This window comes from Homo sapiens, chromosome 3 (genome assembly GCF_000001405.40).
Source record: "Homo sapiens chromosome 3, GRCh38.p14 Primary Assembly".
Taxonomy (NCBI): domain Eukaryota; kingdom Metazoa; phylum Chordata; class Mammalia; order Primates; family Hominidae; genus Homo; species Homo sapiens.
This window is the reverse complement of record NC_000003.12, coordinates 151,082,506-151,094,838: the sequence shown is the minus strand read 5'-3', so window position 1 is coordinate 151,094,838 and position 12,333 is coordinate 151,082,506. Positions and strand designations below refer to the sequence as shown.

Here is a 12,333-nt window from a genome sequence, read left to right as displayed (position 1 = left end):
TATTCTTTAATGTACTTCCTCCAATGACAAAAGTAGTACATATCTATTGTTACAGCTTAGAATACAAATTAGTACAAAGAAGAAAATAAAAATCATCCTTAATCCTATCCCCCAGAGATAACTGGTTGCATGTGAGTGGTAATCCTTCTAGATTGTGTATATATATTTTTAAGTCAAAATTAAGCTACTGTATAACTTAATGACATTGTTCTTTACATATACATACACATTTTCTAAGAGAAAGAGAACAGTATCATGAACTCCCTTGTCACCATCACCCAGCTTTAGAAATTATCTAAAGGTAATTAAAAGTCCAAGTGTTTCCATGCTCCCTTTTTGGGGAGGAATACGTAGGAGGTAAGAGCGTCCCCTCTACATTTCAATTGGATTTCTTCCCTCCACCTGGTTTTTCTCAGATTCTGAAGTTAGCTTTTCTCCAAGCTAAGTCAATCACCCCTTCCTTCACTGCTCAAGAGACTTGACATTTTAACATCTTTCATCATGTTCATTCTTGTGGATCATTCCAACTTCTCAAATTCCTGCCTAGTCTAGAAGCCCTGAGAATGGTGTTCCCAGAACCTCATGGGAGGAGAGCTTCAGAAGAAATACATCACAGTTCTTGTAGTTTGCAAGTTTCACTTACTCTATGCTTCTACTTCTGCTTTTCTTTTTTCTTTAACTCTCTACTACACTAACGAGGAGCACTGTCTTCACACACTGGTGCATATATGCATGTGCAGACACACACGTGCACACACCTGCGGGTGGCACTATTAACTGGTTCAACTAGAATCTTTCAACTCTGTGCATCCTCATCCTCTCCTACCTCGTGCTCACCCAGTGCAGTTTACTCTCCAGATCTCATTGTGTGGTCCTCCAACCTCCTAAAGGATCACATTTCATCTCCTCAGGTACTAGTCCAAGGGAAATATCTGACAGGCTAAAGGACAGTGGTTGTACCCCTAACTGACAGCCTTACGGGGTCCCCAAAGAGCAAAACTGAGAACCCAGGGACACAGTCAAAGAAAATCCCTCAACCCTGACAAGTTCAAAGAATGGCTTCATGGAACAAAGCAAGACCTGCTCGCTTATACCCCAGTTTAGCCAAGTGCATGCAGAAGGGAGATATAGCTATTTCAAAACCAAGGCATAAAACTCTCCTCTGCTATAAACTGTGTACAGCAACAGAAAACAAGCCTATGCTGGGAACCATTGTTATTAGAACTTCAAGGAGGAAAGTAACTAAACTCATTTGCACTGTTTAGTACCAAAAGGTACTATACTTCGAGTAGTATTTATTATCCAAAAGATTCTAATATATCAAATCAAGGGCAGCAGGTAGGAATAAGGGGGAGCCCAGTTCACAATGCTCTCTACAGATAAGGATAGCAAACTAAAGCAAAGGTTTTCAAGCTTGACATGTTTCGGAATCACCTAGAAAGCTTGTTTAAAATGCAAATTTCTGAGCTTCCTTCCCAGAATTCTGACTCAGCATTTCTGGGGTAGAGGTGGGCCACTTTATCTGCATTTTTTAAGAGACAGGGTACCACTCTATAGCCCAAGCTGGAGTGCAATGGCAAGATCACAGCTCACTGCAGCCTTGACCTCCTGGGCTCAAGTGATCCTCCTACCTTGACCTCCCTAGTAGCTGGGACCGCAGGTGTGCACCACCAAACCTGGCTTTCTGAATTTTTTGTAGAGATGGGTGTCTCACTATGTTGCCCAGGCTGGCCTCAAATTTCTACTTTCAAGCAATCCTCCAGCCTTGGTCTCCCAAAGTATATATGTCCATTTTTAACAAGCATCTTTCACATTCGGCTGCAGAGGCTGGCAGACCCTGAAAAATGACAACCAGCTGAGTTCCTCCTCCCTGGCCATAGAGTTTGGGTAGCAAACTGTGAGAAGCTGAAAACAGCAGGACCTCCCAACCAGTGCTTCCTACACTGCTCCTCTCCTAAGAGTCACCTGAGGCATGAGTTAAGCACAAACATCAGTTCCTCCCTGAACACTGGGATTCTGGGAGGTCTGCAGCAGCGCCTGGGGCCAGCCAATTAGTCTCAGGTGAGGAGCTTTCTGAAATGAAGTATCTCCCTTGCCTCCTCTTTTGGTCCCCCAAGTCAACTGGTCAACCTGTCCTTTCTTCCCAGAAAACTTTATCAACATCCTCCCCTTTTGAAGAAACAAACTTTCCACCTCCCTCACTCCACTTCCCCAGCTGCCTCTAAAACAGGCATTCATGCCTTTAAGAGTTTTCGATGCTAACAAGAAAACTAACAGGAGTTACCAAAATAAACCAAGCATTGAGATAGTTAAATGTTATAAATACTCACAATTGCTCATTAATAGTTCTTTCTGCATTTATTAATTTCTTCATGAAGTATTTACTGAGCACCTAGTCTACTCCCAGGCACTAGGCCGTTCACAGATGTGAACACCACAGACAAGCCTCTGCTCTCATGCAGCTTACATTCCAGCTGGAAGGCAGGCCATGGAGAGAATAGCATCCTAATAATTGCATTTCAGTGACAAGCGCTACAAAACATATTAACTCAGGGAAATGAACTGGCAAGGATGAGGGAAGACAGGCTGCAAGGAAGGCCTCCCTGTGGGGGAGTTTCCGAGCTAAGAACCAAATGACAGGAAACAAAACTGCTGCAGGGAGCAAGGGACAGGAACCTATACACAAAGAAGCTAGGCCTGTTGGAAGAAGAGAGAGGCAGCCTGTGGTCCCACCACACAGCAAGTTGGAAGGGGTGACTCAAAGCCCAGATCTTGAAAGGCAGGATCTTGTGGCTGTTATGGTTAAGTACAACAGGAGACCCCCAGCATCCTTTAATAAGGGATCAGCTAATAGTGGCTGACCTGTGTTGAGTGCTGCCTGTGTGACAGGCACGATTCTACACACTTTGCATACATTAGCTCATTTTCTCTTCCCAGCAACTCTATGAAGTTGGAAGAAATACAAACCTCATTCCATGGTTGAGGAAGCTGAGTCAAACAGGCAGTAAACAGAGTAGCCAGAACTCAAAGCCAGGCTGTTTGGCTGCAGGCAATGACTGCAGAGGTGAACAAGGGCCAGACTGGTAGGGCCTTGAAGGCCAAGGTAAAGGGTTTGCATTTTATTTCAAGTGTAATGGAAAAAGCCACTGGAGGGGGACTGAGACTTCCTGGTCCATTCCCTTAGATCTGAACTAAGAGAGGGCACAAATTCTGGGACAAGAACACCAAATCTTGGCTGGGTTGGCTGTTAAACCAAACTACTGCAACTTCAGCCATACATAGAAGTCTAATCCAGCCCTGCTCGTATCAAGCAGAATGCTCTAGCCCCTGCAGAACTGGATGTCTTCCCTTTAGGTGAGGGTTCTCGAAGTGGGGCCCTAGACCAGCACCATCAGATTACCTGGGATCTTGTCACCAGTGCAATTTCTGAGGCCTGACCTCAGACCTACTGAATCTTAGAGACCCAGCAATCTGTTTCAACCAGCCTTCAGGGTAATCTGAATGTCCTCTGAAGTTGAAGAACCACCACTCTGGGATATCCGCATGCAGACACCACCATCACCACCAGCTCTCCTAAGTCATGCTGTGTATATCTTCGGGCAGCCCCTGCACTGCACACCAGGCCATTATTCCCGTAGGTCCCTGCTGGTGGGGCTCTACAGCTCCTGATTCCCGGAAATCTCATTACTGCCCCAACCCATTTTTCTAACAAATTTGATTTTCTGCACATATTTACTCTTCAAATGTTTCGGCCTCTTTTTCTGTTGTTTTTTGTTGTTGTTGTTTTGTTTTGTTTTTGAGATGCAGTCTTGCTCTGTCCCCCAGGCTGGAGTGCAATGGCACAATCTCGGCTCACTGCAACCTCCGCCTCCTGGGTTCAAGAGATTCTCCTGCCTCAGCCTCCCAAGTAGCTGGGATTACAGGCGCCTACCACCATGCCCAGCTAATTTTTGTATTTTTTAGTAGAGACGGGGTTTCACCATGTTGTTAAGGCTGGTCTCGAACTCCTGACCTCAGGTGATCCACCCGCCTCGGCCTCCCAAAGTGATGGGATTACAGGCATGAGCCACCACGCCTGGCCCTGTTTCAGTCTCTTTTGTCCCAGAGTAAACCTCCTCTTCCTTCCTACTTCTGGAGCTTAATTTTACTTTCAGGCTTAACCTAGGCTCCAAAGCAGATAGATGCAAAGGATACTTTCAGCTTTAACCTTGACTTTCCCCAACAGCCCTCAGTCACCGGATTTCCCTTTTTAATTTATTCATCCCAAGTTTATTCATGTTCCAATAAATATTTGTGCCCTCAGCCTTCTAGGAACTAATTGTGCAGGTGCCAGGTACTTCTGCCATACCAAAACAGACCTCATCCATGCCCTCATGAAACTGACCTATTAGGGGGAGATGGCAAGATGCAAATAAGTATATAATTGTAAATGATATATCAGAAAAGCCTGAGACTTGAATGATGAAGGGGCAGGCATGACAGTAGTTCATGACAGCAAACATATAGGGGCTGAATCTATGACAGATTCTGTTCTAAGTGCTTTTTACATATACTATCTAGGTAATCTTCCAACAGCCCTATGAGTTAAGTAGTATTATCACTCTCACTCTATATGGAAGGAAAATGAAGTATAGGGAGAATAAGGGGCACATAAACAGGACAGCCAGGGTCCCAACCCAAGCAGACTGGCACCAGAGCCTACCTTTCTAACCACAGGCTAAGGTGAGAAGAGCTGAGTGGAATGCTAAGTGGGAGGGGGTGGCTAGACAGGTGTCCAGGCAGAAAGACCAGAACAGAATATGCAGGAGCCCTGGGGAAGAGAAGTCACCCTGAAGCCAGAAGGGAGACCAAGCATACTGGTGAAACTGGAGAGCATCTGGTGGATTGGAAATATATTTTGGAACTGAACAGGATGTGCGCATGGATGTAGAGACGCTGATGGATGAATGGGGTATAAGCAAGGAGGAGGTCTCAAGGATGACTGCCAGTTTTCTGATTCCCTGCTTTAAAGGCTTGAGCACAGTCTGTTTGTAGGAAGCAAAGTATTATAACACAATATATAATGAAGTCCTACAGGATGCTGATGCACAGCAAGCTCTCAAAAAAATATAACCAATCCATCAGGCAGGTTAAAGCTTCCATATTCTCCCCCCCGCCCCACCCCCATACTTCTCCACATGGGTCTTCGTTCATGGGTTCCACCCTACCTTCTGGGAGCCCTTTTCTGAAATATATTACCACTGGTTAACAACAACAATAAAAATTACATTTATGGTGACAAGAATAACTTCTACCAGGAGGAGGGCTTTTCTCACACAAATGTTGGTTTGAAATTTTTTCTGAAGTGCACAAACTAATTTACAAATGAGAGGCTATGCAACTTGCCCAAGGCCACACAATTGCAAAAAAAAAAAAAAAGCTAAATCCAGGTTGGCCCAACTTGGAAGCCCACACTTCCTCCATTAAATCAGCATTTTCCACCACAGCTATCTCTAATGGAACACAACTGTTGTTTTCGATACACAGATGAACTTTTAAAGTGTTAATAGTAATGGTCTCATTTTATTATGTATAATCATATACGTGTGTGCATGTAATATCAAATAGATTAAAAATAGTATGTAAACATGATTTGATATAAATTTTATATATACATATATTTCAATAAATCCATGACTCCACGTGTAGTACTGCCCAGGAAACACAAAGTTTCTTAAAAAATTAGTTTAAAGAAAACTTCAGAATAAAAGTACAGGTGGTACAGGGGTAGGGTAGAAATCTTGAGGGAGGTAGGACATAAATAACTAAAGCTTAGGAAACTCTACTCACCAACCACCCAAGAACAGCCAAGCACCTGTTCCATATTGTACCCAAATTTGGCTACAGCCACACATAACTCTGTCTGCTTGGGAGAGTTAAAACATTGGCTGCCTTGGGGGAAAGGGGATAACATCAGAAGATAATTTAGCATAAATCATCCTCAAAGCAGTATTAGTTTTGACATAAATACTGGTTTGGTGGTACAACTCCTCTGCTTATTCACCTATACACCTTGGTTAAACGAGTCAAGCTTTCCCAGGCCTGTTTCACTTAGTCAAAAGGAAGTTATAGAAAGTAGTCCCTAAGGTCGCTTCCAGTTTTAGAACTCCATAAAATGTTGTGAGACCCTGAAATCCAAAATTACTCTTTCCAGAATCAGAGGCCCCAGTCGTGAAATGAGCATTGGCCTGAAGAACAAATGCTAAATAAGCCCACACAGCACCCCAAGCCATCATGCCATCAATTATGCTGCCCTCTGGAAAGACAGAGTAAGACATTAATTACAAGATGATAAAGTTCAACCAACAAAATATCCCTGTCCCTATCAAAACTTTAAGAATTTCCTCCCAATAATTTTTAAGCTATTAACTGTACACTTGATCCTCAGCTTCTCTATTATTTCCAGTCCTTAACCATTAACTTCATTCTAAGTTGGGGTAGCAGGGTGGGGTAACGGGTAGGAAAAAAAATCTGGGAAATCTTCTCAAACCTCTACCATCCTGTAAAGCTGGTGCTGGAAACCACCTGTAAAACCTTCCCAGCTTTCATCTGCGTGACTCCACTGATGCTAGAGCATATTTAGTGTGCTAAACCTCTAAAAGGAGTTGCTGTTCCTTACTTCTCAGACACTTTATAAGCAAGACAGTTTAGCCAGAACAAGCACTTACTCTCCTAATGAAAGATACACTTATCAAAAGGAAAGTCTTAAGGACCCCTCCTTGCCTGGTTTACAAGGCCCTTTCTGTGCTATCAGTGGGCCCACAAACTTTTAATGGAGGGTTTTTAGATTCTCAGAAAGGTAAGTTTTGAAATATGGTCAGTTCGTGTTTAGCTGAACAGAAGATGGGTGGACTGCAGCTGGCAAACTCAGAAAGCACTGCTGGGTAGCAGGTGATCAAAAAAAAAACAAAAAAAAGGCAAGTCCCTGGGCAAATGGTGTAGCCAAAGGTGATCATTATAACTAGAGACTTGTTACATAATTACTTGTTAACTCCTGACAAACAGATACACAGCTACAAAATGCCATGGTTACCCTAGCCATTGAAGCTAATGTAGCTGGTGCAAGAGTCAAGGTGTCTCCAATTAATCTCATTCAAAGAAATAAGCAATCCTGGGAACTATTCCCTCCCAAGGTAACTCGCCTGCTTTTACGTATACAAAACAGCCTCTAGCAATTAAGCCCATTGCCTCTAGAGACGAAAATCAGTGTTTCTCCTTAATTTTAATTTTTAAAGGGCAGAAGGGTTACAGAGGTATATTCAGAGAGCTAAATATTTATCACTTCGATAAAAACGACTTCCATTCCAAACTGGAAAATTTGAAAAGCTTCCCCCTCACCTTCGTCCCTGGCCAGCAAAAGCAAAACGCAAGACCTCAGTGTAGGATGCACTGCATTCCAACATTTTTCAAAAAGTTTACGACGATTTACCGAAGCGGCAAGAAGAAAAATAAAGCAGGCAGAAACGGGTGAGAGCGAGCAAGGTTTCGGCAGGGAAGAAGCCCGAGAAGCGCCCGGCGGCGCCGTGCAAGGCCCGGCAACGGGAAAGCGACCGGCACATGGAAAGCGAGCGCCCCAGTGGAGCGCGGGGACTGACAGCCGCTCGGTCTCCGCCGCCGGGGGGTCGCCCAGCACCCCCAGCCTGGCCCCCGCCTCTAATCCCCCTCCCCGACCTCTTCCACCGCAGCGCCGGCGATGCCCGCTGGGCCAACTTGGCCCCGGGTCAGTGCTGCAGAGCGCGGCCCCGGTTGCCGGGGAGGCCGCCGGCGCCCTTACCTCCTTCTGCTTGGGGTCCTGTGGGTAGACGTCGGGCGGCCCGAGCCGGGGGCGCTTCAGCGGTCTCTGCTCATAGCTGAGAAGCCCGAAGGCGGCCATGATCTCTCATGTTAACCGGCGAAATGAATGAGAGTTGGAGCTGGAGCAGCCGCCTCTGAGCACCAGGGAGCAGCACTTTGCAGACAGACTCCCTCTCTCCCCCTCCTCGCTCGCTCGCTCGCTGTGGCGCTGCAGGCAGGAGGAATAAAGCAGGTTGGATGCTGCCGCTGCCCGGCAGCAGACACGCACTGATGGGGACAGCCTTCGGCGGGTACTCGGCTGCGCTCGAGCCCCGGGACGCACCGCTCCGGTGGCGGCGGCGGAGGGACTAGAGGTCGGCCAGGGTCCTCCGCGGCGCCTGCCTCCTCTGCTCCCCCCTACCTTGTCTCCAGGGGGAGGAGCAGCTGATGGGAACGTGTGACTTTTTTCACCAATGGACCCAAACCCACCCCAGCTGGGCGCAGGATGGGGGTGGGGGTGGGGCACTGGAAAAAAAAAAAAAAAAACTTTTCTTGGCGCCTAGGCTGGTGGCTGAAGTGCTCGCCCAAGGCGAGGGTGGCCCTCCCCTCCCGGGAAGAAGCTGTGGAGCGGACCGCCCCCGCCTCTCTTCCCCGGCAGGGACCCTTCCCCCGCCGCCACGCGCCCCGCAGACCCCGCCACCTGGACACGGACCGGGCCAGTGCAGGCAGAGGCAGGTCTGGAGGGGGCGCGAGACGCAGGGATGCGGCCGGTGGGAAGCGGCCGGTGCCTCCTAGACGCCCGCCAGGTTCCAGTGGCGCATCCGCAGCTACGGTCCCCTCGGCGGCTCCGGGCAGGCGCCGAGGCGCGCTGCTGGCGGTCGCGGCGGCTGGAGGGGGCCGTGCTCACGGTGGCGTGGGGCCGACTTAACCCTTTACAGTCCCTCCAGGGGCTGGGGAAGGGGGTGAGGAGCGATGGCTGTGAGCGCCGACGGGGGCAGCCAGCCCGCAGGCGTCTCGGGCTCCTCCAGCCCGCCGCCTCCCCACGGCCCCAGCTCCTCTTCCCTTCCGCCCCCAACCCCCAACACTTTACCTGTTGGTCCGCGGCTAGCGGGCTGGGGCTGGCGGCGGCGGGGTCACTCCGGCCGCCGCAGCCTCCATCATTCGGGTTGGGATGGGGGACTTGGATTTGATTTTATTTGTGCGGTATCTGCCTCGCCCGGACGAGCTCCGGGAACGCCGCGAAGTTTGCCACTGTCTGGGGGCGGCGAGCGACGCCGGCTCGCCGCCGGCGTTCTCGCCCCCACGGCCCGGGAGCGCGAGCTTCCGAGTTGGCGGACGGCGGCGCGGCGTCCGCACTGAGCATGCCCAGCTCGGCGGCCGGACCGCGGAGGAGTTGGCTGAGAGCGCGGTGAGCGCGCTCCAATCCGCCTCTCCGGGTTTTCGCAGCCGCAGAGCGCGCAGCCCGCGGGCCCCGGCGCCGAGGCTGGCCCTGGGGTGAACCTGGGCGAGGGAGGGAGCGCCCTCTGGAGCCCTGCTCCAAGCCCCCCGCTGCACCCTCCGCCTCGACCTCCCCAGAGGTCGCGGTCCCCGTGGCCTGGGCCGAAAACCTCACCTGCGCCGGGAGCGTGGAAGGGGCGGGGGGGGTGATCCTCCAGGGCAGACCTTGGTCATCCAACCCGCCCTCGCTCCTCGCTTCGGGGCGCGGGCACCAAGATGCTGGGCCACCTGGCGCGAGCTCTGCGAGACCGGAGCCGCGGAGGCGGGCTCGGCCTGTCCTGAGGGACCCCGCGGGAGGCGTGCCCGGGAGAATGCGCCCGCACTTGGCCAAGAATGATGGCTGCCATTTATGGAGCCTTCGCTACGTGCCAGGATCTTGATAGTCAGAATCTCTGGTCCTTACAACCTTCCACGGTCTTACTGTACCCTTTTTATGGATGGAGAAATTGAGCCAGCTCAGAGAGGACCACTCACTTGCCGAAAGCCACGAAACGAGTCGGAATTTGAACCCACGACTGATTCTAAGTTTCTGACCTGTTTTCCCTGACTTGGACTTGGAGGGACTGGGTTCCTAACCTGTCCTTGCCTGATGGACTCACGTTCTCCACGGCTTGAGGCATTCTCGGCCTTCCCTCTCTGTAAGGTGGTAAAGGCAGATTCTAACCGGAAGCCTTTGATACATAGTAGGTGCTCTGGAAATGCTGGTTGAATCTGAACATCAACTTTGATGTTCGTTGACATTTAAGCAAAGGGGGAAGAAGGAGATAAATAAAGTGAAGGTAATGTGGTAGAGGCTAGTTCCTCACTCCTGATCCTGACCTGTGAGCACCTCCAAACCCAGTTTGAGGCTGAGTCAGGTGTTTAGCTTTTGGCTTCCTTAATCTGAACAATTACTTCTAGAGAGCATTTACCTAACTTCACTGGAGGGCATTTCCTGACCACCTTCCCCATCTTGCCCCAGGGTCTTCTCTTCCACTAATATCCTGGGATTAATTTCATGGCTGGACTTGCCCTTGTGATACAGGCATCTATCAAATGTAGCTCCCTTGTTTGAAAGAAAGGACAGTTTTTTGTTGTTGTTGTTTTCTTTGTTTGGTTGGTTGGTTGTTTTTTGAGACAGAGCCTCGCTCTGTCGCCCAGGCTGGAGTGCAGTGGCGAGATCTCGGCTCACTGCAAGCTCCGCCTCCTGGGTTCACGCCATTCTCCTGCCTCAGCCTCCCGCGTAGCTGGGGCTACAGGCGCCCGCCACCACGCCCGGCTAATTTTTTTTGTATTTCTTTTTTTTAGTAGAGACGGGGTTTCACAGTGTTAGCTAGGATGGTCTCGATCTCCTGACCTCGCAATCCGCCCACCTCGGCCTCCCAAAGTGCTGGGATTACAGGCGTGAGCCACCGCGCCCGGCCGAAAGGGTTTTTTTTATTATCTAACTTTATTAGGGAAATTATTAAACATACAAAAAGCTGAAGAAATCATATAAGGAGCCCTCAAATATTCATCTCTCAGCTATAAAAATTAAAGTTACTATTTTTGTTTCATCTTTCTCCCCCATTCCCAACTCACTGACATACACTAGTAAGGACAGTTTTACTCATTGTTGCAACTCAGAAACACTGTATGGGACCTGACACATGGTGAGCATTCAAAAATGTTGGCTTATGGAATGGATGATAGGTAGGCGATGTGTGGATGGACTGATGATTGCATCATTAGTGGTACTTTGGGAATAACAGCCTGCGCTGCTACTGAATCAAACACCCCTAGTTTGGGGGAGAAATGTAATCTCAGTTCTTCCCTTGGGATGCCTAAGCAAGCGCCTCCAACTGAAACACTTTGAAGCACTTAAAATCTTATCTGCCCATAAGAATTTTATCTTAAAATCAAAATGTGTCAGTAGTGTGCCCCTGGTGTTTGGGAAGAAGGGAAAATAATAGCCCTCTCCCTGTTGTTGTCCCTTCTTAACTCCCTCTCCTGAAACAGTCTGGCATGAATTCCTTGACCCTCTCAACACAAAATAAATAAATATTGAAAACTTTAATATGCTTAGAAGCTTCCCCTAGGAATCATTATTTTACTGCATGGATTTCCCATGGGCATTTGGCTCCTTACCCTGGGAAATCTTTGTAATCTACCCCCTACCTAGCAATTCAGCTTTTTCTCCTTAACCTCTTGCCCTAGTTAGCTTCCTTTCCTAATATGGAATTCCCAGGCTCTTCATCTTCAAATACTCACCTCTACAGTCCTCAGAGTACGGATTCCTGTACAAAGCCCCTTCAAATTCCCCTGGCAAAAGGTGATCTTTTGGCTTTTTAGTGCCCTTAGCACTTAATTTTTATTATCTTAACACTTATTTATTGGCATGCATTTGAATGTGTCACACAGAATAGTCTTGTTGCCTCATTCTCACCTTTTCCTCCTGGTCCCCTTCTTCCATTCCAGGTCTTTAAGCAGACTAAGATCAGCTCATCATGATGGGCTTAACCTGTAACCCACTGTGTTCTATACAGTGCTTGAATTTCCCACGTGGTGCTGGTTAATATAGCAGGCAAACATTCTCGTTGAATAATGTGGGTTCTAGCTGATACTGTTCCTAAGGGGTATTTTATCTTTACCTAGCTAATGATTCCCTGGGACCAGGAAAAATTTGCATGGAACAGAAATTAGAGAAGACCAGAGGCTCCCCAAATAGGTCCCAGCCTTGAACCTCAGCCTAGCAAGAAGGGATGAGTTCAGGTTCCTAAGGAAGTTTTGTATAGCTATCCAGGGAAATGGGGTTGAAATGTGGCTGGAGAAAGGTGAATGAATTACAAACCATTTTAAGCATATGGTGCTATATCCTCCAAGTATAAAGCTGAGTCTTCACTGCTGCTTTTGAGGGTTACCAGGTATTTAAAAGTTGACCCTTTTTCTTGGGTCACATTCAAGGGTTTCTCAAAGATTCCCTAACTGCTTATGTTCCCTCTGAAAGCCCTGATTTTCAGCATTCTGCAAGGAGTCCCTCACAGTTGGTATCCATTTGTGCTTTTG

At 48.4% G+C, this 12,333-nt stretch overlaps 1 protein-coding gene across 24 annotated transcripts in view, besides 2 other annotated features; it reads right to left on the bottom strand.

Annotated features, from left to right (window-relative positions):
- Positions 1 to 9,175, bottom strand: part of MED12L (mediator complex subunit 12L) — a 350,990-nt gene extending 341,815 nt beyond the window's left edge. For 20 of the 24 annotated variants that reach the window (XM_017005676.2, NM_001393769.1, XM_017005678.2 and 17 more), the window contains exons 1-2: positions 8,903 to 9,175; positions 7,814 to 8,041 (exon numbers count right to left, since the gene is read on the bottom strand). In XM_017005676.2, the coding sequence (XP_016861165.1) occupies positions 7,814 to 7,912 (99 nt within the window). In that variant the 5' untranslated portion in view covers positions 7,913 to 8,041; positions 8,903 to 9,175. Of the gene's footprint in view, positions 1 to 7,813; positions 8,185 to 8,902 lie in introns of those variants that run through there. The other 4 variants (XM_047447403.1, XM_047447404.1, XM_047447407.1 and 1 more) reach the window with 1 other exon arrangement.
- Positions 8,423 to 8,717: a silencer, noted in NCBI's record as "tiled region #19; HepG2 Repressive non-DNase unmatched - State 4:PromP, and K562 Repressive non-DNase unmatched - State 10:DNaseD". NCBI's record gives its function as "represses a minimal TATA promoter and a strong SV40 promoter by Sharpr-MPRA in HepG2 and K562 cells {active_cell/tissue: HepG2 | K562}" and the evidence as "EXISTENCE:reporter gene assay evidence [ECO:0000049][PMID:27701403]".
- Positions 9,154 to 9,523: a silencer, noted in NCBI's record as "silent region_14822". NCBI's record gives its function as "represses an Ori minimal core promoter by ATAC-STARR-seq in GM12878 lymphoblastoid cells {active_cell/tissue: GM12878}" and the evidence as "EXISTENCE:reporter gene assay evidence [ECO:0000049][PMID:35858748]".